Source organism: Homo sapiens, chromosome 2, assembly GCF_000001405.40.
Source record: "Homo sapiens chromosome 2, GRCh38.p14 Primary Assembly".
Lineage (NCBI taxonomy): Eukaryota > Metazoa > Chordata > Mammalia > Primates > Hominidae > Homo > Homo sapiens.
In genome coordinates this window covers 237,001,911-237,023,899 of record NC_000002.12, presented here as the reverse complement: position 1 = coordinate 237,023,899, position 21,989 = coordinate 237,001,911, and the positions used below count along the sequence as shown (strand labels likewise).

Genomic DNA, 21,989 nt, shown 5'->3' with positions numbered 1-21,989 from the left:
TGGCTCAGAACTGTGCTGTTTGAACCACATCAGGTGGATGGTGTCTGGCTCCTTGACAGAGACCTGTGGTGGGGTGGGGACCTGTAGAACTGGCATGGAGTCCATTGCCCCAAAGAACTCAGTTACTGAACAATGGGAGAGGAAGAAAGGATGTCAAGGAGACCCTGGCATCTGCCACATGTCCCTTCTGTAATTCCAATATTTATATGCTGTCTAGTGGTTGTTTTGGTTGGTGTTTTCCTAGCTCCTGGTCACTCTCTTGGTCACCAGGTCTAGGACTCTCTAGATACTCTCATATCTTTTTCTTTCTCTCTCCATTCTCACTGCCACTGCCTGTGTCAGTCCCCCATATCTCAATTACAATGAATAACTTATTGCAAAATGCTAATATGATATTATAGGAACATCAAGCAATACTGCTAAGTAAAAAGAAAAAGAGTGAATATCACCCACACTACCCAGAAATCACAGTTCACGTTTCGATATTTGTCCATTTGAATTATATTCTTCAAAGATTTTAATCAAACTGTATGACTGGGTTTAGAACAGCAGCCTTGTCTGGACCCTGCATGGAGTTAGGTGATTCCACACTTTCTAGAACCCTTTCTGGGTGTTGAGCTGGCAAATCCATCCATGTGCTTGTGGGTATTTGGGGACATTGAAGCGGATGCACAGCCATTTTTTTTTTTTTAATTTAAAGGAGGCTCAGGAGCTCAATAGGAAGTGCTGAAGCTTGGCCACAGAGATGTAGAGATGTGTCTGACCTGGAAGAGTTGGTGGGAAGGGGATAGAAGACAAACTGCCGAAGGATAGAGTGATTCCTGAGAGAAAAATCACATGAGTAAGAAGGCTGGTGGGGGGAGGTGTGAGGAAGCAGGGACATTTCAGGTATAGTGTGGGGGTACACTGGAACCTTTTCTGACCCAGTTTTCATTTTCCTTGAGGAAACAACTTCATGTCCTGAAAGTGCAAAACTGAAAGAGTTATTTTGGTAAGGTCCCCAACTCCCAACCCCTTCTCCCAGAGGAGATCCAATGGAGGAAAGAAATCAAACGAAAACATGTAACGATGAAAGCATTATCTGACCGGATGGAGAGAAAGATGAGAACCCAAGGTTGCCAGCAGCCACTGAGATGCGACTAGTTGACGGTGGCAGCAGAGGGTGGCAGAGGTACTACTATTACCATGAGCACTAGCGGGCAGATCGGGAGAAGGTAGGAAGTGCCGCAGATGGGCTGTCAAAGGTGGCTTCTCCAGCTCTAGGTGGACAGCTCTCTTCAACTGTGTCACCTCAAGTGGGAAGATAGTCCAGAGGGCCCAGTGATAAACAGCTAACATGATAACATGAGCCTTTCTTTCTTTCTTTCTCTCTTTCTTTCCTTCCTTCCTTCTTTCTCTCTTTTTCCTTCCTTCTTTCTTTCTTTCTCTCTCTCTTTCTTTCCCCTTCCTTCCTTCCTTCTTTCTTTCTTTCTCTTTCTTTCTTTCTTTCTTTCTTTCTTTCTTTCTTTCTTTCTTTCTTTCTTTCTTTCTTTCTTTCTCCTTCCCTCCCTCCCTCCCTCCCTCCCTCCCTCCCTCCCTTCCTTCCTTTCTTTCTTTTTTTTCTTCTTTTTCTTTTATTTGAGACGAAACCTCACTCTGTTGCCCAGGCTGGAGTGCAGTGGCATGATCTCGGCTCACTGCAACCTCTGCCTCCTGAGTTCAAGTGATTCTCCTGCCTCAGCCTCCTGAGTAGCTGGGATTACAGGCATGCACCACCACACCTGTCGAATTTTTGTACTTTTAGTAGAGATGGGTTTCACTATGTTGGTCAGGCTGGTCTCGAACTCCTGACCTCAGGCGATCCATCCACCTCGGCCTCCCAAAGTGCTGGGATTACAGGTGTGAGCCACCATGTCTGGCCCTAACATAAGCATTTCTAACAAACATAAAACAAAGATAGTCAACCCCCCAAATTCATACTCAATATACTGTCATACAAACTGAATCTTTTCAATTTAAAAGTGTTGAGAATATTTTATAGTCAATTTGAAACTTGAATAGAGAAGTTAGTGACCACGTGGTTCATATAATTTCGTATTTCTCGGTCCTTTCCTGTTGTAAAGAGCCATGACCCTTTACGCCAGCTCCACGCTGGTGATATATAGCACTCAATGAAACCAACACCTTATTGAACCATCAAATATGTCAAAAGGAAATTTAGAACAAGTGGCAGGAAAAGCTTCATAGCAGGAAAATCTTATGGGAACATAAAATTATTTCCCAAGGAAGTTGTTAAAAATCCATTATGCAAGCCATTTATAAATGTGTTATTTATCAACATCTTGCAAAAAAAAAAAAGTGAGACAGCACATTACCAGCAAAATTCTTATACTGGCAAGCTAGACCACATGCCTCAATAGCACCTTTTTTCAAGTCCACTGATGATTTAATTTATAGCATTCCTTTTTTTCACGTGATAAAGAATGTTATTTGCTTGCAATATGATATGTAATACCAAAATGAAACAGTTGCTTTCTGAGAATGAATATGGAAAGATATTTTTTGTTATCCCTCATAGCTCTCAATTCGTAAATCAGTGCAAAATACATGTGAAAAATCTGTGCAACTTCAAATAAATGTAATTTTTTAATAGTCAGATTAGTTATGCGAATATGTCCTTAGATGATACAAAATTGATTTATTGCTGATTAACATGATGTATTAATATTAACGGGGTTATTAGTACATATTAATTTAAAATGACCCAAGGGAAAGTTGGTTGGGAAGGAAGGCATCATAGGGAAAGCCTCTGGTTGGGGAGGACAATGGAGAAGGATGAGGTGGAAGAAATGGTGAGCAAAGGGCAAGTACAGTCTAGGATTGGGAGGGAATGGGTTTAGGGCATTTCATATAATAAAGATTCGTACTCAAGGCTGAATGAAGATGGTACCACTGAAGACCACTGGCAGAGATCTTTTAAAAATCTAAAATATGGCTGGATGCAGTGGCTCACGCCTATAATCCCAGCACTTTGAGAGGTGGGTGGATCACAAGGTCAGGAGTTCAAGACCAGCCTGGCCAAGATGGTGAAACCTCGTCTCTACTAAAAAATACAAAAATTAGCCGGGCATGGTAGTGGGCACCTGTAATCCCAGCTACTCGGGAGGCTGAGGCAGAGAATTACTTGAACCTGGGAGGTGGAGGTTGCAGTGAGCCGAGATCACGCCACTGCTCTCCAGCCTGGGCGACAGAGTGAGACTCCATCTCAAAAAAAAAAAAAAAAAGAAAAAGAAAAAAACCTACAATATGATTTTTAATGTGAGATCCCACCATAGAGGATAAATTAATTGGAAAAAATTCATTCATATGAGCCACCCTGATCTATGCTTCAGGGATATCTCTATACGTGCCTAAGGCCTAAATAACACAATGCACTTTTAGACATCAAAGTCTGAGAAAAAAAAAATGGTGTGTGGAGCCCACAAGATATCAACTACCAAGTTTCTAATTTACAGAGCAGCCTGAAAGGATCAGAGAACATTCTGTAACCATGTCTGAAGTGACCACTGTAAAGTTCTTCAAGCTATGGAAAATATTGAAGTCAAATATTTACAGTACTGAAGGGCCCACATGCAATGGAAAATAACCCCCAAATTAAGAACATCTGGGGGAAAAGTCTAACGAGAGCCAAGCAATGAAAGCAGCAATAAAGATGCAGAATGCATTCGTGGAAGGCTCATGAAGAAGGGAGCCTTTTTTTCTTTTTCTTTTTCTTTTTTGTTCTGTTTTTTAGGTAATGAGGCTACCTTCCTGTGGTGAGCTTCAGGGAAGTGATTTGATTCTGTCTGACTGAGTTTACAAGCTGCCAAACGAAAAAATTGCTACTTCCCATTTCATGAAATACAGTAATTACTGATGTATAGAACTTGTAGACGATCTTAGACATTAAAACACTGGAGAAGTAAAACATATGCATATATAATTATCTAGGATCAATCAATTGAGGAATGTTTTATCTGGGTTATAGAAAAACAAGAAAGGGAGACAATTTAAAGAGAAGAAGAAAAATATTGGCTTTGCTGTAGTCAAGTCCTGGATCCATGTGTTACTTATCATTATTTTAGGCCAGTTGCCTAAACCTCTCCCAGCCTCAGTTTGCACATCTTTAAAATGGGACTCTGATAAAGATTAATTGACAGAATTGCCAGGCATCGTGGCTCATGCCTGTAATCCCAGCACTTTGGGAGGTCAAGGCGGGTGGATCACTTGAAGCCAGGGGTTTGAGACCAGCCTGGTCAACGTGGTGAAATCTCATCTCTACTAATATTCAAAAATCAGCCAGGCTTGGTGGCTCATGCCTGTAATCCCAGTACTTTGGGAGGCCATGGCAGGTGGATCACTTGAGTCCAGGGGTTTGAAACCAGCCTGGTCAACACGGGTGAAATCTCATCTCTACTAATATACAAAGATTCGCCAGGCTTGGTGGAACGTGCCTGTAACCCAGCTACTCTGGAGGCTGAAGCATAAGAATCGCTTGAACTTGGGAGGTGGAGGTTTCAGTGAGCAGAGATTGCACCACTGCTCTCCAGCCTGGGTGACAGAGCAAGACTGTCAAAAAAAAAAAAAAAAAGATTCATTGACAGAATGCAGATGAGGCACACAGCCTATAGAAAGTGCAGACCACCTGGTGTTTGCCATTACTATTATTGTCATTGTGTTGTTGTTATTGTTGTAAGTGTTGTTATTACATTTTTACTTAGGGAAGCAAGGTGTCAGAAGGAGGTTAAGATTCTATCAAACAATAGTGGCCTAATGAAAAGGACTTATAAATTTTTAAGGGTTGAAACTCTCTTGGAAGCCACATAAAATAATGGGGTGAAGTATTTTTTTTCCTTTGATGAGAACAGTTGCATGAATGCACAGGAATGCCCCTGGGGTATGTTAAGATGCTCTCATGTTGAATGTACTTGGGGGGGGGGGCGGGGAAATTAATAAAACCCAATATGAATGAACAAGGCCTCACTCCCCAAGTTTCCTCTAATCTGATATTTATAATAGGACATCATACAAGGGTAGATTCTCACAGCTGCTGTCTAGCTTAATACAAATGGTTTTGAAGTCTTGGATGCCCTTGGATGTGTGTTATTTATACTGTGCATGGTATACTCATTTAGCATTTCCACCTTGAAAACCTCCTGTTACTTAGGCATCGAGAAAACTTTGAAGTTAAGAAAGTTATAAACTTCAAAAGATTGTTATTGGTTGAGTGTACAGGATTATGGTAGGGAATCAGAAGAGGACAAAAGAATCCAGTGGTATTCAAATCATGTTAGAGACCGTTTGATGTCTGCCTGCTGTTTAGGGGCTCAATAGCAAATTGCAAAGAGCTCCTAATCATAGGTATGGTCTAAGTGCCTATTAGAATGCCTTGAGCAGTTAACAGTAGCAGCAAAAGTCTATTAAAAAAAAAAGTCAGAAACATCCAAATTTGTTGTTGGTCAAACAGGTTGGCTTAGTTACTGGCATTGTCAATGACACCAGTGGCTAAAAAACCATGATATATAATGATACGATAGAATACATATAATCATCCTTTCAGAACTGCAAGGGATGGAAGGAGATACCATGTCTGTTCAATGCCTGATGCAAAGCTAATGACTAATTCAAGTTCTTTTTGTTTTTCCTCTTCTTCCCTTCCCAGAAAACCAAATAAGTGTCCCAGTGACATTTTGCCACGGATGTTCCCACTGTTGGAATTACTGTCAACGATACGTGTTTAGTGGGTGAGGACCCAGTTTTCTTCCTGACCTGTAGGAGGGATGGAGGAAGATGGCTCTGGGTGCGGGCAGACATGTGATGGTCAAACCCTGAGGAGGAGGAACTTTCTATGCCTGGGACTGCATCAAAGCCCCTGAGTTACCAGTGATTGTGCATTCCTCTGGAATCCCTCTTTTTTCTGAACCCCAGGTCTTAGAATGGCTGCTCATAATCTAGAACAGGGTGGGACAATCAATAGCACATTTGCACCTCATAGGCCTGAAGATGTAAGTTCAGGGCCCCGTGTTGAGAAGAATCGTAAAGCTCAGTTGGAAAGCAAGCCATGATCAATTAGTGATGCCATTTAGAACTGGGTTTTCATCCACTAAACAAGTAACATTGACAGCAATTCCAACAGTGGAAACATCCATGGCAAAATGTCACTGGGACCCTTATTTGGTTTTCTGGGAAAGGAAGAAGAGGAAAAATAAAAAGAACTTGAATTAGTCACCTGCTTTTCATCAGACATTGAACAGGCACTTTCAGACATGGTATCTCCTTCCCTGCCTTGCAGTAATCAATTATGGAGAAATCAATTAGTGATGTCTGCCACAGGCTAGGGCTAAAGGAAGGCAGCACACGCCAGCTTGTGAGAATTCCTTTCCCTAGTGCAAGGTTTGGTTCAAATACCATCTTACAACCATATCCCAAGATTTAGAATTAAAGCAATATATGAGCTAAAGGGTAATGAGATCATCCCTATCATTGTTTCTATAATGTAGGCAGTTAATTTACTATACTACCTTATATTATAATTTTTTCTTATTCTTACCACCAGATTCTAAGCTCCTTGAAGGCAGGCACTTCTTCTAAATCATCCTTACGTAGCCATGATTCCCCCTCCCTCTCTCTCACTTCCAACTCTAATGCATGCATTCAGGCTTTCTTCTGGTGACACATTCAAAAAATGTTTGCTGAGCCCCTATTAGGGACTAGAAGTGACAACAAGAGGACAAGGCTCAGCTCCGTGGACCTTGCGGCTCGGCACAAGGCAGGTGCCCCGAAGCTCTGCTGCTAAATCTGCCTGCTGGACTCATGGCATCCTACTCCTAAGGCCTGGCCAGTGGTGACTTGGGCTGTGGCCGAAGCTGAGTGAGCATTAGGGACCAGCACTGGGTGTAGAGCAGCCTTCCGTGGCAGGGCCTTAGTGAGAGGAACTCAGAAGAGATGCTAGCAGAAGGTGGGAGGTGATTGAAATGCCAGAGACTCAGGGGGTCCCAGGGACTAGTTTGCTAGCAGAGGTGGTTGCATTTTCTCAAATTTCTACAAGTTTCTGGAGTAAGCTTGGAAAGCCAGGCAGCTTCTGATGAGTAAGCAGAGGCTGCCACCGCACAATGTGGGGACTCTAACTCCCGCCGGTCAGCGCAGAGGGAATGCCCGTCTGTCCTGCGGTGCAATGATCAAAGGCTTCCTTCATGGAATTCTCCCCCTGCATTCCTGCTTTCTTGTGAGAATTAGTTAGACATTTCACCTTAACTTCACTTATCGGAAAAATTGAAAGGATAAGACTAAATTATTTTGTATCTATTGAGCTAATGTTTGCATTTCTAACTTCCTAAATCGTCTTACCTAGGCTGCTTGAAAGAAGTGTGTCCTAGACTTAGAATAATGTTTAATTTTTAGAAGATGCCATTCTCTTTCCATGGAAGGTCAGTAATTCCAAAGAAGTCAATATAACATTATCCAGTCCTTCTGTTAACATTTTGATTGCTTTCTTTGTCAGAGTCTTCTTGTCTCAATGGTGAAAGGTATAAACGTTTCAACAGCTGTGGAAGAAATGTTTATTACCCTTCAGTTAGGCAAAGAGATCCGTCTTCCCCAAAACAATGCTTGGGGTTAAAGACTTGCCTCCCCTTTGCAATTTAGTTTGCACCTTTATTTCTGAGAATGACTTCAATTCAGGCAGTTGATAAATCAAGGATCTGACTACAAGAAAACCCCCTCCTTCTTGTCCTCTGTGGCCAAAAAGGATGGTGTTCTGGTTTGTGGTGGTTGTTTTGGGAATGAGTGTTGTTTGATTTTCCTGTAGAGGTTTCTCAAAGAAGCTGACTTGATTTTTCCAGGTGCCCCAGTCTGTTACATCACTCCAAGGCATCAAGAACAGCTCAAAACCTCTATACTGCTGGAGATGGCAAGTTAGGGTAGAAATCCCCCTGGTAGAAAATCAAATAGCTTCAGGTTCCTTGAGGTTCTCACCTTTTGCCTCAATCTTCTTTACCTGTTAGTTCCTTCCAGTATGGGAAAACCCCTGGAGACACTGCAATGCCAGTGGCACCAGGAGACCCCATGTGAGGGCCATTCTCATTAGGAGCAGTCAGACCCCCTTGGCAGTGCCACTTTCATCCCGTATCCCATGCTTGGAATCCTTCCAGTCTCCCCAGTGTCAGTGGGACAAAGTGGAAACACTAGAGTCCTCCCTGGGAAGGCACAGGTGACTCCAGCCAAGTGCTCTCTCTCCCACCTTCCAGCCTCTCTGGTAGACATGTCCTGTTCCTGGCGACCTCGGGCATCTGGGCTTTCCATGTTCTGTGCTGGCAATGGCCTCCAGTGGCCTCCGGGGCCCTGCCCTGTGAACATCTCTGACTATGACCCACACTGCAGAGCCCAGCCTCTGTCACACACTGAATGGCCCAACCACCTGTGCACACACTTTTTCTGCACCTCCCTAAGTTAATTATTATGTACTCCATAAAGGGATCTTGGAGATCATGTAGTCTGACACCCCATTTAGTAGGCAAGAATATCGAGACTTAACAGGCAAAAGAGTTAATTCACATAGAACCCAAGGGTCCTGGTGTATACTTGAGCAGTACATACACTAAAATTGGAACAATGCAGAGAAGATGAGCACGGCCCCTGCACAGGATAACATACAAATTCATGAAGCATTCCATCTTTTTATGTTTATTCCAATAATGTTCATGATAGCAAAGTCAGGAAATCAACCTAAGTGTCCATTAATAGATGAGTGGATAAAGAATATGCGGGGCCGGGCGCAGTGGCTCATGCCTGTAATCCCAGCACTTTGGGAGGCTGAGGCAGGTGGATCACCTGAGGTCAGGAGTTTGAGATCAGCCCGGCCAACATGGCGAAACTCCTTCTAAAAATAGAAAGAAAATTAGCCGGGTGTGGTGGTGCACACCTGTAGTCCCAGCTACTTGGGAAGCCGAGGCATGAGAATGGCGTGAACCCGGAAGTGGAGGTTGCAGTGAGCTGAGATTGCACCACTGTACTCCAGCCTGGGTGACAGAGCGAGACTGTCTCAAAAAAAAAAAAAAAAAGGAAAAAGAAAAAGAATATGTGGTGTATATATTCAGCCATAAAAGAGAATGGAATCATGTGTTTTGCAGCAACATGGATGGAACTGGAGGCCATTCTCCTAAGTGAAATAACTCAGAAACAGAAAGTCAAATATCATATGTTCTCACTTAGAAGTGGGAGCTAAACAGTGGGCCCGCATGGACATACAGGGGAATCCTTGGAGACTTCAGAAGGTGGGGAGGATGGGAAGTCGGTAAGGGCTGAAAAATTACCTGTTGGGACCAGTGTTCATTATTTGGGCAGTGGGTACACTAAAAGCCTAGACGTTACCACTATGCAACGTAGACATGTAACAGAACTACCTTCCTACCCCCGAGATCCATAAGAATAAAAAAAATACAGTGGGGAAAAAAGGAGCCCCAGGGTCATTTCTACTACACTGCATTGTCTTTTATTTTGTTGTCTTATCAGCCTTTTTTTTTTTTTTTTTTTGAGATGAAGTCTCACTCTGTTGCCCAGGCTGGAGTGCAGTGGTGTGATCTTGGCTCACTGCAACCTCCGCCTCCCAGGCTCAAGCGATTCTCCTGCCTCAGCCTCCTGAGTACCTGGGATTATAGGCGCATGCCACTACCCTGCCACTAATTTTTATATTTTTAGTGGAGACAGAGTTTCACTGTGTTGACCAGGCTGGTCTTGAACTCCTGACTTCAAATGATCCACCCACCTCATCCTCCCAAAGTGCTGGGATTACCTGCATGAGACACCACACCCGGCCCTCTTATCAGCTTTTGTTGCCCATCTGTGAATCTGTCTGATTTCTCCAACCAGATTCTCAGCCCTTTGAGAATAACTATGTCTTGTTTCCTTTGTGCTACTACTTATTTCCTTTGTAACAGTCAGCAGAGCCTGCAAAGAAAGATCCTCTGGCTGAATTGATGGATAACAGCTGTGTGCTTTATAAAACAGCAAATCACCAGGACACCCATCTTGGAGACTGTTGTGACACTCAGAACAGGGGCTGTTGAGCTGCTGATACCGGAAAGCAAATCGTGCCTTATCATAGAGCAGACCTGCTGGACAGAGATGGAGCGGTCACTTGGTCCAGTGTTGTAATTGTTCAGTGCAGACGCCGAAGCCCAGCATGCTGAGGTCATACAGGTATCTGGTACTGAAACCGGAATTGGAACAATGTCCTGCCCTGCGTTTGTCACTTCAATGCCCCCCAGTTTTCCTGGACAAAGGTTTGCATGAATAGGAGCTGAGGGAGGTAAGGAGGAAGGCAGAGAAGCTGCTGCACTGAACAGAAGTCAGGGTGCTGTGCCTCTGCGTGTGTTCCTGCAGCAGGACCCAGCAACCGAGGCCAAGGAGGCTCCCAAACTTCTCCAGTGTCTTTCCCAAGCTTCTGCTCTTCTTTCTCTTTTCAGCTAACCTCCAGGCTCTCTATCTTTTTGTCCTTAGGCTATAGTCTCTGATTAAGATATACTCGCTTCCCGCTTAATGGAACTCATCACATCAGGTCCTACCTGTCCCCAGAACTCCCTTTTCAATTACAGAAAACGGCCCGCTGATCTTGGAAAGGGCTGGCAGGCGAGGGACCCTCCTCAGACTCATTGATTCTTTTGGTCCTGCTTTTCCAAAACTGCTCCCATTTCTGTCTCTGCCTTCTGTCTCTGTCAAACAACCACTGTCAACAGTTCTTTAAACCAAAAATCATTGCTCAGGAAGCAAATTTGTTTGCGGGAAGAATGACAGTCTGTCGCCGTGCAGAGGGTGGCGTTCATGACGGTGCTTGAAGGAGTTCACAGGTTAGGCCAGACAAAGCCCAGCGCGTTCATCAGGCAGCTTGAGCACGGGTTGTCTTTCGCCTTCTTGCTGGTTTGACATCGTGGGTAAAACCTGGTCATTTTTCCAGAAGGATTCTGAAGAGATTGTGTAAATTGAAGAAATGGCTTGCTCTTGTTAGGAAAGCAAAGCCAACTTTTGAGATATTCAGGGAATGTGAGGTCTAGTGGACTCTTTTACTGCCAAGTTTCTTATCATGAGAAACCGCTCTCAGCTCCTTAGTGGAAGGAAATGAAATGTATGCAAAGCATTATCGGCTTACTCAGATAACTGCACCAGCGTAAACCAGGTTGTGACTAATTTGCAAACTTAGTGCAGGGAAGGTCCTTAGACGTGATTCTGGAATTGCCAACCCTATGAGCTTCCACAGATGCTATGGGCCACTTTTAGAGCCCACGGATTCAGCATGTGGCTGTTGGGAACAGGCTTTGCTATGAAAATCAGTGATGGCTTATAATGCCTCTAACTGCCATATATGTTTTCACAGGATTATTATTTATGATCTCAATTAATATTTCCATCTGATTAGCAGTGAAACAAACCAGGATGTGAGGAAATGGGAACTTAATTAAAGGTTGCTGCCCAGTCAGGGTGGCATTCCAGATCATGGATCCTGTTATGTAGGAGGGACGCCCAAATTCGCCCTGAGCATGCCTCCCTTCCTCTTCTCATGCAGCCTCTAACTCGGGGTGTCTCTTGCAATGCCACTTAGAATAGTTTCGCCGAAGATGTAGGTGATTAATCAAGGCCCCGGGTGTCACAATGGCCCATTGTCCCAGAAGGCATTCCTTTGGCCGGCTTCTGACCTTTTCTCTTGGGGCAAGTGTGCATTTTCCCAAACTCTTAATGGACAAGAACTCACAGACAATGGCCCTGCATGTAACTTTCATTTGCAGGATGGAACAGAGAATGTTCGGGTTGCTGGAAGGAGGGAAAAGGGCATGCATTAACTCAATCTTTGTATTCTCATCAAAAAACAGACACGTATTTTGAAGAGGACAGCTTTCCACTCGGTTTTTTATATTTAAAAGAATCAATTGTTCATAAGCCCATCGTGATAATATTAAAGGAAATTAAAATAAAAGACTCACTCACAGTCCTATCACTCTGACACTCTGGAAATCTAATTATTTCCGTTTACCGTGTTTCCCTCTAATCTTGTCCATATACAAAGTTTTTACTCAGTTGTCATCAAAGCTCCCCTGGCTTTTAAAAGAATTACATTGTGATGGAGATATCTCTTTTAGATAGTTACGTACCATTATTAAAGATTCAAAATATCATTAATTTCCGTCAAGCTCTATTATGTTTATCATCTATCACTGTGTCAGCACACTAATCACCTCCTCAGCTGCCTCAGGACTGCAGCTTAACTATTTACTTTTAATAGAAATCGGACCACTGCAGCCTTTCTCTGCACCAACAAAGACATGCCATTTCATGAGCTGTTGATCCCTTGAAGCAAGTGAAGTCCTTTAATGGTCTCCTACATGGTCGAGATTTTTTTTAGATGATGAAAATGAAAGGTCACAGAAGTCTGTGGAAACAAAGAGATTCATCCCTATTCTCCTGTAGTCCCTGGATGATGAGCAATTGTGGACAGCAGCCAGCCTTTACACAGTAGTGTGGAGAATTCTGCAGGAGGGATGCTTCCTCCAACCCTGTGTCCCCAGGCTTGGCTGACAGCTGCCCAGGCAGCTGAGATGAGGGAATTGGCTCAGGTTACCCTGAAGGTGCAAGCTTGGACCCTGGCTCTTTCTACATGCACGGTCCTATCCCTGTAAGAAAGCATGAGAATAGGGGCTTTGGAATCAGATACTCTGGGTTCAAGTTCAGACTTTCACATTTACTTAATATGTGATATCAGGTAAGTTATGTGACCTTCCTCATTCTTGTTTCTTCATATTTGAAATAGAAATTATATTGCTCATTCATTCAATAGATATTGATTGGGCACAGTTCTAGATACTGGGAATATAACGGAGTTTACAGATGAGGAATGGGGAGGGGGTACAGATGCTGATCTAATTGTCATCCTGTGAACTGCAAGTGCATTCATTAAGGAACAGAATACCATGCTATGAGAGCCCATTAAGAGGGAACTTGAACTTGTTAGGCACGTCAGAGAATGAGTTCACCAGCTGGGGACTGGAGGGAACAGCATTCCCATTACAGGGAACAGAAAGTAGATAGTCTCTATACTAAGAGGAAGCATTGTCACCAAAGGTTCCACAGAAGTAGGGGGGCCAAGAAGCACAGGGGCCAACGGAGATGTGGCGAAGGGGTAGGAGCCGTGGTCCCTGTTAAGAATTCCCTCCCTGTGATGGTGAATTTTAGGTGTCGACTGCATTAAGGGTTGCCCAGCTAGCTGGTTAAGTGTCATCTCTGGATATGCCTGTGAAGGTGTTTGCAGAAGAGGTTGGTGTTTGAATCAGTAACTGAGTAAGGAAGGTCCACCTTCACCCAATGTAGGTGGTCACCATCCAATGGGTTGAGGGTTCAGATAGAGCAAAACACACACACACACACACACACACACACACACACACACACACACACAACGCAAAGGAAAGAAGAATCTCTTCTCTCTCTTTTGGAGCTGGGACAACCTTCTTCTCCTGCTCTCCTGCTCTTGGACATCAGAATTCCAGGCTCTCCAGCCTTCACACTTCAGGATTTTCACCAGTGGTCCTGGTTCTAAGGTGGTTGGCCTCAGACTGAGAGTTACCCTTACCCCAACAGCCGACTGATTCTCAGGCCTTCAGACTTAGATTGAGCTATGCTCCTGGCTTTCCTGGTTCCCAAGCTGGCAGAAGGCCTATTGTGGAACCTCTCAGCCTCCATAATTGTGTGAGCCAAGTCCCCTATTAAATACCTTCTCATATATCTATTTTTGTATCTGTCTATGTATCAATCAATCTATCTACCCATCTATCTATTTATCCATCTATTTATCTTTTCTGCCCTAACACATCCCCTAAGAGCAAAGAGAAGCCATGGAGGGTGTAGCAGTGCCTGCTATAACGAGACACGGGCACTGAAATGTCTCTCTCACTGCAGCTTGAAGCTGGTATTCCCGGTGAGTTGGAGCAGATGCAGGAAGACCAGTGGGTCTCCAGGGAATTCACCTGGTTTCCTCTCTATTCGAATCTGGCAGCTGGCTTAGTTCTTGGGATAGCGTTAGTGCTGAATAAATATTTGTTTCAGTGAATGAATGATCTAAACTGATGATTGTGGAGATGGGGAGACTTAGACGGATTTTAGGCATACTTAGGAGAGAAGGTTGACATTTGTTGCTGCCTGGTCTGGGGAGGTCACCATCCAGGCACCCTTGCTGATTGTGGTTGGGACTCCATGTCTGGGTTCAACTTCACAGTGACCTCAGCCGGGACGACTGGAGCCCGTTGGCTCTGCCCATGGTTTCCATATAGAAGATTAAATTTTCTCTCATATTTCCCTCCTGGCCTTTTATTTCTGCCTCCCGCATTCCCCAGTGTTCCCCAGTTGTATCCTAGTCAATTTAGAATTAACACCCACTAATGAAAAAAACAAAAAACAAAAAACCCAGAAGTGGCATGTTGTTTAAATTCCATATCCCTCTGCCTGATATGTTTAACCTTAATATTGTATAAGTTCATTCCTAAGACCATGAACTCTTTCTTAATGAATTGTCGTGTATTTCATGGACAATGTAAACCACGCAGTACGTATTCATTGCTGAGTAATGATATATTCAGCCTTGCAGGTTCATCCTCAGTCAATATCTTGGACCATTCTGTAAGCATCATTGTCTCCAGAATATTCAGTTTGAGCCTTTGCTCAGTCTCCAAAACGTTCTCCGTTGTTGGCTACATTCCAGAAAACACATTTGCCCCACATAATAACAATAATAATAACAATAACAATAATAACATCAGCAGCAGCTGAAAACTATGTAGTGCTTCCCATATGCCAGGCACTGTTCTGAGTGCTTATTTCACAGAAACATACCTTCTACACTAATCCTCCTGCAAGGTTATTGAGTTGTACGAAAGAATTAGCTCAAGAGGGCTTTACAAAACACATCCATACTATGTACAAACACTATATATTTGATAAGACACTATCAATAGAAAATGAGCCTAAACACTATTTACTTAAATATATGTTTAAAGTCCTTCTGTTTGGTTTGTAATATTAAAGTGTTTTTTCTATAAATGGTACATTCCTTCATTTAAAAATTAAAACACTTAGGGCTGGGCATGGTGGCTCACGCCTGTAATCCCAGCACTTTGGGAGGCCGAGGCGGGCGGATCATGAGGTCAAGAGATCGAGACCATCCTGGCCAACATGGTGAAACCCCATCTCTACTAAAAATACAAAAAATTAGCCAGGCATGGTGGCACGCGCCTGTAATCCCAGCTACTTGTGAGGCTGAGGCAGAAGAATCGCTTGAACCCGGGAGGCAGAGGTTGCAGTGAGCCGAGATCGTGCCATTGCACTCCAGCCTGGGCAAAAACAGCGAAAGTCCGTCTCAAAAAATAATAATAATAAATAAATAAAATATTTACAGTAAAGGATTCTATAATATTTTCTGTTTTGAAGAGCCTGAACTCAGGTGGAGATGCACAGGTAATGGACCTAGCCCCGAAGACTGGTGGCATCTCAGGGCTGTCCCATCCGACCGACGATGATGAAGGAATGTGTGATAAAGCTGAAGACTGTTAACGATTTTACAGTGTTTCCACTCTTTACTTTTAACTGTGCTATAAAAATTCATTTCCCTACTGGAACTTGGCTCTGCAGGTTTAAGTTTGAAAGGCTAAAGTCACATCAAGCCATATTTCTCCCCAAGTGGAAAATAATAGACTACTTGATGTAGAGTGGATCTATGATGAAGAATGAGAGTGTGAGAAGAAAAGAAACTCTTTTAAGCAAATGAAAGTAAGACTTTGGTTTTTATTTGGAATTCCTAGAGCACTCTTTTGATGTTTAAAAATTGCCTGCCAAAATCTCGTGGTTTATATGCAGGTAATGGACATCTTCACTCTGGTTTTGACATTTAAGAGGGTCTCGTCCTAAAAGGCAGAATCTTAATAGAAACACACTATGGGTTAAAAAAATAAAATATGGGAATCCACTGTTTTCTTACTTAAAGTAGTTATGATATCTGGCAATTCCCATTAGTTCTGAGCACCAACCGCTACACCCCCTCTCCACCCCAGCCACACACACATCCCAAGGGCCAGAGATGTTGAATCTAACTACTTCTTCTCTACTCTAATGGGTGGGTGGATCGGGTAGGCATTTGTTCACCTTGGGTCTGTGTTCACATACTTGATTCATTTTATATTATAGTGTACACTTGCCTGAGTTTCTACATGGTCTTTTAACTGTTTTGTTCAGTTCGTTCAACGTGATTCAATCACATTGAAGTACCAGAATTTGCTCATCTATTTCTTTGTTATTCAACATTTGAGTTGTTCCTATTTTTTTCTCTAACAGATATCACGGCAACAATTAATTTTTAAATATAAATTATAGCTTCTTTTTTTTTTTTTTAAGATGGAATCTCACACTGTCTCCCAGGCTAGAGTGCAGTGGCACTGTCTTGGCTCACTGCAACCTCTGCCTCCCAGGATCAAGCAACTCTCCTGCCTCAGCCTCTCCGAGTAGCTGGGACTACAGGCGCATGCCACCACATCCAGCTAATTTTTGTATTTTTAGTAGAGACGGGGTTTCACCATGTTGGCCAGGCCGGTCTCTAACTCCTGACCTCAGATGACCCACTTGCCTTGGCCTCCCAAGGTGCTGGGATTACAGGCGTGACCACCATGCCCGGCCAATTATAGCTTCTATTTAATTATTTCTTTAATCATTCCTGCTAGATAAATTTCTAAATGTGGGAAAACAAGGTTAAAAAATTTAGTTGCCAAAGCACAGTGATCTAAAAAAGTTTGTATTAATGTACAATGCTATCAACTGTGTATTACATACACACAGATGCACACACACATCTATGTATATATTAGTTTTATCCCAACTTCACCACCAACAGATGTTATTATTTAAACTATTTTCTGATTTAAGTTTTAAAAGTTCACATATGCTGTTATGTTAATTTTTATCTTATGTTATTTTATATTTTATTTTACGTTATTTTTATCTTACTTTATGTTTATTCAAGTGCTGGTTTATTATTTTTATCTGCTTATATGTGTATATTTTTTGTAGTTGGCCTTGACTCATTTTTTTTATGAAGGTCTTAAGTCTTTCCAAATATGCATGAGTATTTTCAAAGGTTATTATCAATATTAATCATATTTGTTGACATAATTCAGGTAAATATTTTATCTTACATGTCTCCTCCTACATTTTAGTCTAGTTCTTTTTATTTTAATCAGTGCAGTCAAAATTTTCAACATTGCATTGCCCATCAGTCTGCTTTACATTTCCTTGAATTTTGAAAAAAAATATTTATTATTTCTTGCAAGGTAGGATATTTTCTGCTGATTTTTCTCTACAAATATATTTGTAATGATGAAACAACCTTCTTTATTCAGGGATTATGGTGTAAAGTATGGATATAAATTAGGTTTTCTCCAAATTGCTCCCTGATTATCCCAACATTATTTATATTACAATTCCTTATCCTTTTGTTTTGAGAAGATTGCATAATAATATATTATTCTGGGTCTATTCTGCCATGCCTATTCTATCCTTTCATCTTTATTTTCATTTCTTTGCAATTCTACTTGGCATTTTATTGCCATGGGAGCTAATATTATGTTTTTTAAAAAGGCTAAGGTTTATTTTCTTCTACTTGGAATATTTGTTAACATACCCACACAGGGAAGACTATGTGTTTTGTGGAACACAAAACTTACACCGTATGAGTGCCCTCTTAAGAAAAACAAGACAAAATAATTAATACAAAACATCCAAGCTCCCTCTGTGAAAGAGAGCAAATGAGGGGCCCTGAAACCTCTGTGTCCTTAGCTTCGTGGCAAATTCACCTCTATTTTATTTTTGCTGAATGAATTTAACAATATTTGGCTGAGTTATTTTAAAAAAAGGTCTTTATTTATATTTCAGTTGGAATCACGTTATATCTGTGAAATAGAACACGATGTTTCTCTACTTTATTTGTCTTCTTTTTATACTCCTGATAACACATTCTAATTTCGCTCATTCATCCAGCAGCAATTTATTGAGTACCTCTTCAATAACTTTGCAAGGATTTTTTTTTTTTTTTTTTTTTTTTTAGATGAAACCTCACTCTGTTGCCCAAGCTGGAGTGCAGTGGCGCGGTTTTGGCTCACTGCAACCTCCACCTCCTGGGTTCAAACAACTCTCCTGCCTTAGCCCCGCTGAGTAGCTGGGATTACAGGCACACGCCACCATGCCCGGCTAATTTCTGTATTTTTAGTAGAGACGGGGTTTCGTTATGTTGGCCAAACTGCTCACGAACTCCTGACCTTGTGATCCGTCCGCCTCGGCCTCCCAAAGTGCTGGGATTACAGACGTGAGCCACCGCGCCCAGCCGCGAGGTTTTTAATAATGATGATATGCAATTCTGTTTATTATGATTTCAGATTCTTGAATGTTTTATAAACGGGATCTTGAATTTCACAATGGTTTTGTTTGTTTCATATAATTAATGACTTTGCTACTCTTTGTATATTTTTCTTATATACAGAGGGGTCTTCTTCTTCAGAGGGTTTTTTTTTAAATTCTGTTTATGTTTTCAGTAAGTTTGTCTTTTAGACTTTTTGGGGGTGGAGTCCAGTCATCTTAAACTAATCATATTTTTAAAAATCTAAGTGTCTCTGCTTTTCCACAGTTCCCCATTACCCGTTTTGAAAATTTTTAAAAACTATATTTTTAATTGTTATAACAAAAAAGTAACATAAAATTTGCCATCTTACCATTTTTAAGCATATAGTTCAGTAGCATTAAGCGTTCCTGCGATATTGTTGTGCAACAGATCTCCAGAACTTGTGCGTCTTGCAGAACTGAAACTCTGTCCCCATTAAACGACCCCTCCCCATCCCTTCAGCCCCTGGGAGCCCCCACTCTGCGCCTGTCTTCATGAATTGGACTGCTCTAGGGACCCCATGTAAGTGGAATCATACCGCATTTCTGTTTTGTGACTGGCTTATTTCACTGCGTGTGATGTCCTCAGGGTTTATCCACGTTGTAGCAGGGGTCTGGATCTCCTTCCTTTTTAAGGCTGGATAATATTCCCCTCCATGTGTGTATATTGTATTTTGTTTATCAACCTGTTGCCGCATCCCCATTGCCCTTTGACGGACCCCGACTCCTCTCCCTGCACAGCCCAGTCTCCTCTCTCCTGGCTTCATCCTGGTTTGTCCTCCCCCGTCTAGCGCTGCATCCTCACTGCTTTCTTCCTGTCCCTCAGAAGATGCCAAGTGTGTTCCTACTCCAGGAACTTTGCTAGCACTTTCCCTCCACCCTTGATGTTCTTCCCCCAACTTTCAAAGGGCTGGCTCCTCTCAGCATTCAGGTCTCATTTCCAATATCACTTCCTCGCAGAGGCCTGTTTACTACTTAAATAGAGGCTCAATCTCTGCCGCTTTCTGCCATGCTACCTTTAAAACCCGTATTCATTACATTTACCATGACCTGCCATTCACCTGCTTATTTATTCCTGCAAACCTTGTTTCTGTCCCTCCATAGGTGTATTAATCTGTTCTCACATTGCTGTAAAGAACTACCTGACACTGGGTAATTTGTGAAGAGAAGAGGTTTAACTGACTCACAGTCCCACAGGCTGTACAGGAAGCATGGCTGGAAGGCCTCAGGAAACTTAAAATCATGGCCAAAGGCAAAGGGGAAGCCATCACGTCTTCACATGTTGGAGCTGGAGGAAGAGAGCAAAGGGGGAAGTGCCACACACTTTTGTTAAGCTTGTTCTCGTGAGCACTCACTATCATGAGAATAGCAAGGTGGAAATCCGCCCCCAGGATCACCTTCCACCAGGCCCCTCCCTTAACATTGAGAATTACAATTCAACATGAAATTTGCGGGGGGACGCAGAGCAAAACCATATTAGAAGATAAACTCCATGTGGGTCAGAAGATTACCTAACTAACCACTGCCTCCCCATGCTTAGAGCATCTGGCAGCAACTTATTAAGTATCTCTCCAATGAATTCATTCACCATTATTTATTTTTCTCTTGTGTTATTGCATTGCGGGGTACTTAAAAATATAGGAAAGTAATGGGATTGGTGGTTATCTTTGTTTCATTTTTGAACTTGAGGAAGTCTTTAGATTGCTTCACTCTTATTATGTACATGATTATTATTATTATGAATAGTTATGCATATTATGAATTATATTATGAATCTTATTATGAATGAATTAAGAGCATTTAAACATTTTAAGGAGGGTTTCTTAAAACAATTTTGCTAGAAATCCATGATGAATGATATTAATTCTGCCTCAGCGTCTATTTGAAATGTTATTCTTTGTTTGTCTATCCAAGCCTAAGACAAACCAGCCCCCATAGGAAGGCCTGGATTAGAGATCTTCACTCTGAAATAATGGCATGCTGGAGTGTTCTCAGTGGGATCAGTTGTCCGGCGCTGTGTTAGACAAATTAACTGCTTTGTTTAAAATGAGTCACCCTTGCATTAAATGACTCTCTAAAATTATTTTGATATTGATTGGAACAATTAAAACTGACAGTATCTCTTTGACTGCAAAACAGGGGTGCATAAAGCCTGGACCATTTGGAGATGCTGAAATACGGCACTTCATGCATCTGGCCTCTTTGTTTACAACTGTTTGCCACTGACAGCAGTTAAATTATCTCAGCAATGTCTTTCCCAGACATATGCAGACATCCTATATGGCAGGACCCTGCCCCATCAGAACAAGAAGGCCTGCATTGGAAATCTTCACTTATAACACCAAGGCCTGGGGCTGTGCTCAGCTCTGCCCACTGCCTAGGGCTTCCTGGGTCTCCTTTCCAAAATCCTGCTATTTGGAGGAGGCAGCACACCATGATGGGAGCGGTGTCTGCCTCTAAGTCAGTTTAGAGTAGTAGGGCATCCTGCTAGCTGTACGGCCCTGGGCAACTCATTTACCATCTTCGTACCGCTGTCATGGTATATAGGTCTTGACAATGCTAACACATGCTTATCAGGGAGGTGGAGAGTATCCAACATGGGAGTAGAGTACCTGAGCCAGAGGAGGTGTTCCGCAAACAAGAACTATTCTTATCATCATCAGAATCCTTCCTTGCCACTCTTCCAGTTTTTACCAATTAATTACCCCGGTAAAAATACACCTCTCTCTCTCATCTTCTTTCTCTCCTCTGTCTGTTTCTTTTTTTTTTTTTCTAATGTTCTTGCAGCTGAACAGATTTTTTTATTTTTCAGTCTAATCATAGCAGTGCCCATTTGAATCCATATTGAAGCTATTGTTTCAAAACATTAGCCTGGCCCACAGATTGAATTTCAGATTTGGAACCCTTCTGTCACACAAAGCTTTTGATGAAATCAGTTGACTCTTTCTGGAATTATTCTGAAGCAGACCGAAAAGTGAACATGAAATGTCAAGTCATTGGACTGAAACTGAAATCTCATTTTAGTCAATGAAACCAGATGTCATGGCTATCCTGGAAAACCTTGATAAGCTGAACACATAGCGGAGCCTTGGTTACATCTCAAAGAAGGAACCCATGATGAGAAAAGCCAGTCTAAGTGATGGCACACTCCAGCAGCAGCCTGTGCAGGGGAAAACCATGGTGTTTAATCATGGGAATTCACACTTGGTGATGAGCCCGGAGGATGTCTAACCCAGAGCCATGGTGTATGAGGCTGCAAGGGCTACCATAACTCAGTTCCATTGACTGGGTGGCTTAAACCACAGATATTTACTGTCTCTCGGTTCTGGAGGCTGGAAGTCTGAGATCACTGTGTCTGTAGGCTTGGTTCCTTCTGAGACCTCTCTTCTTGGCTTGTAGACAGCCATCTCCTCCATGTACCTTCATGTGGTCTTCTTTCTGTTGAGTCTCTGTCCTAATCACTTCTTCGTATCAAGAGACTGGTCATGTAAATTAGGACTTACATGAATGACCTC

The 21,989-nt window shown here is 42.4% G+C and overlaps 1 long non-coding RNA gene and 1 pseudogene across 8 annotated transcripts in view; both read left to right on the top strand.

Moving 5' to 3' along the window:
• The window catches only part of COPS8-DT (COPS8 divergent transcript), a 175,051-nt gene that overhangs the window by 61,922 nt on the left and 91,140 nt on the right, over window positions 1-21,989 (top strand). Inside the window, exons 2-3 of one of the 8 annotated variants that reach the window (NR_187943.1) lie at window positions 701-841; window positions 9,954-12,001. The exons of the other annotated variants lie outside the window; for them this stretch is intronic. This is a non-coding gene — a long non-coding RNA (COPS8 divergent transcript). Of the gene's footprint in view, window positions 1-700; window positions 842-9,953; window positions 12,002-21,989 lie in introns of those variants that run through there. 8 annotated transcript variants of the gene reach the window in all.
• RNU6-1051P (RNA, U6 small nuclear 1051, pseudogene) lies at window positions 8,595-8,696 on the top strand (annotated as a pseudogene).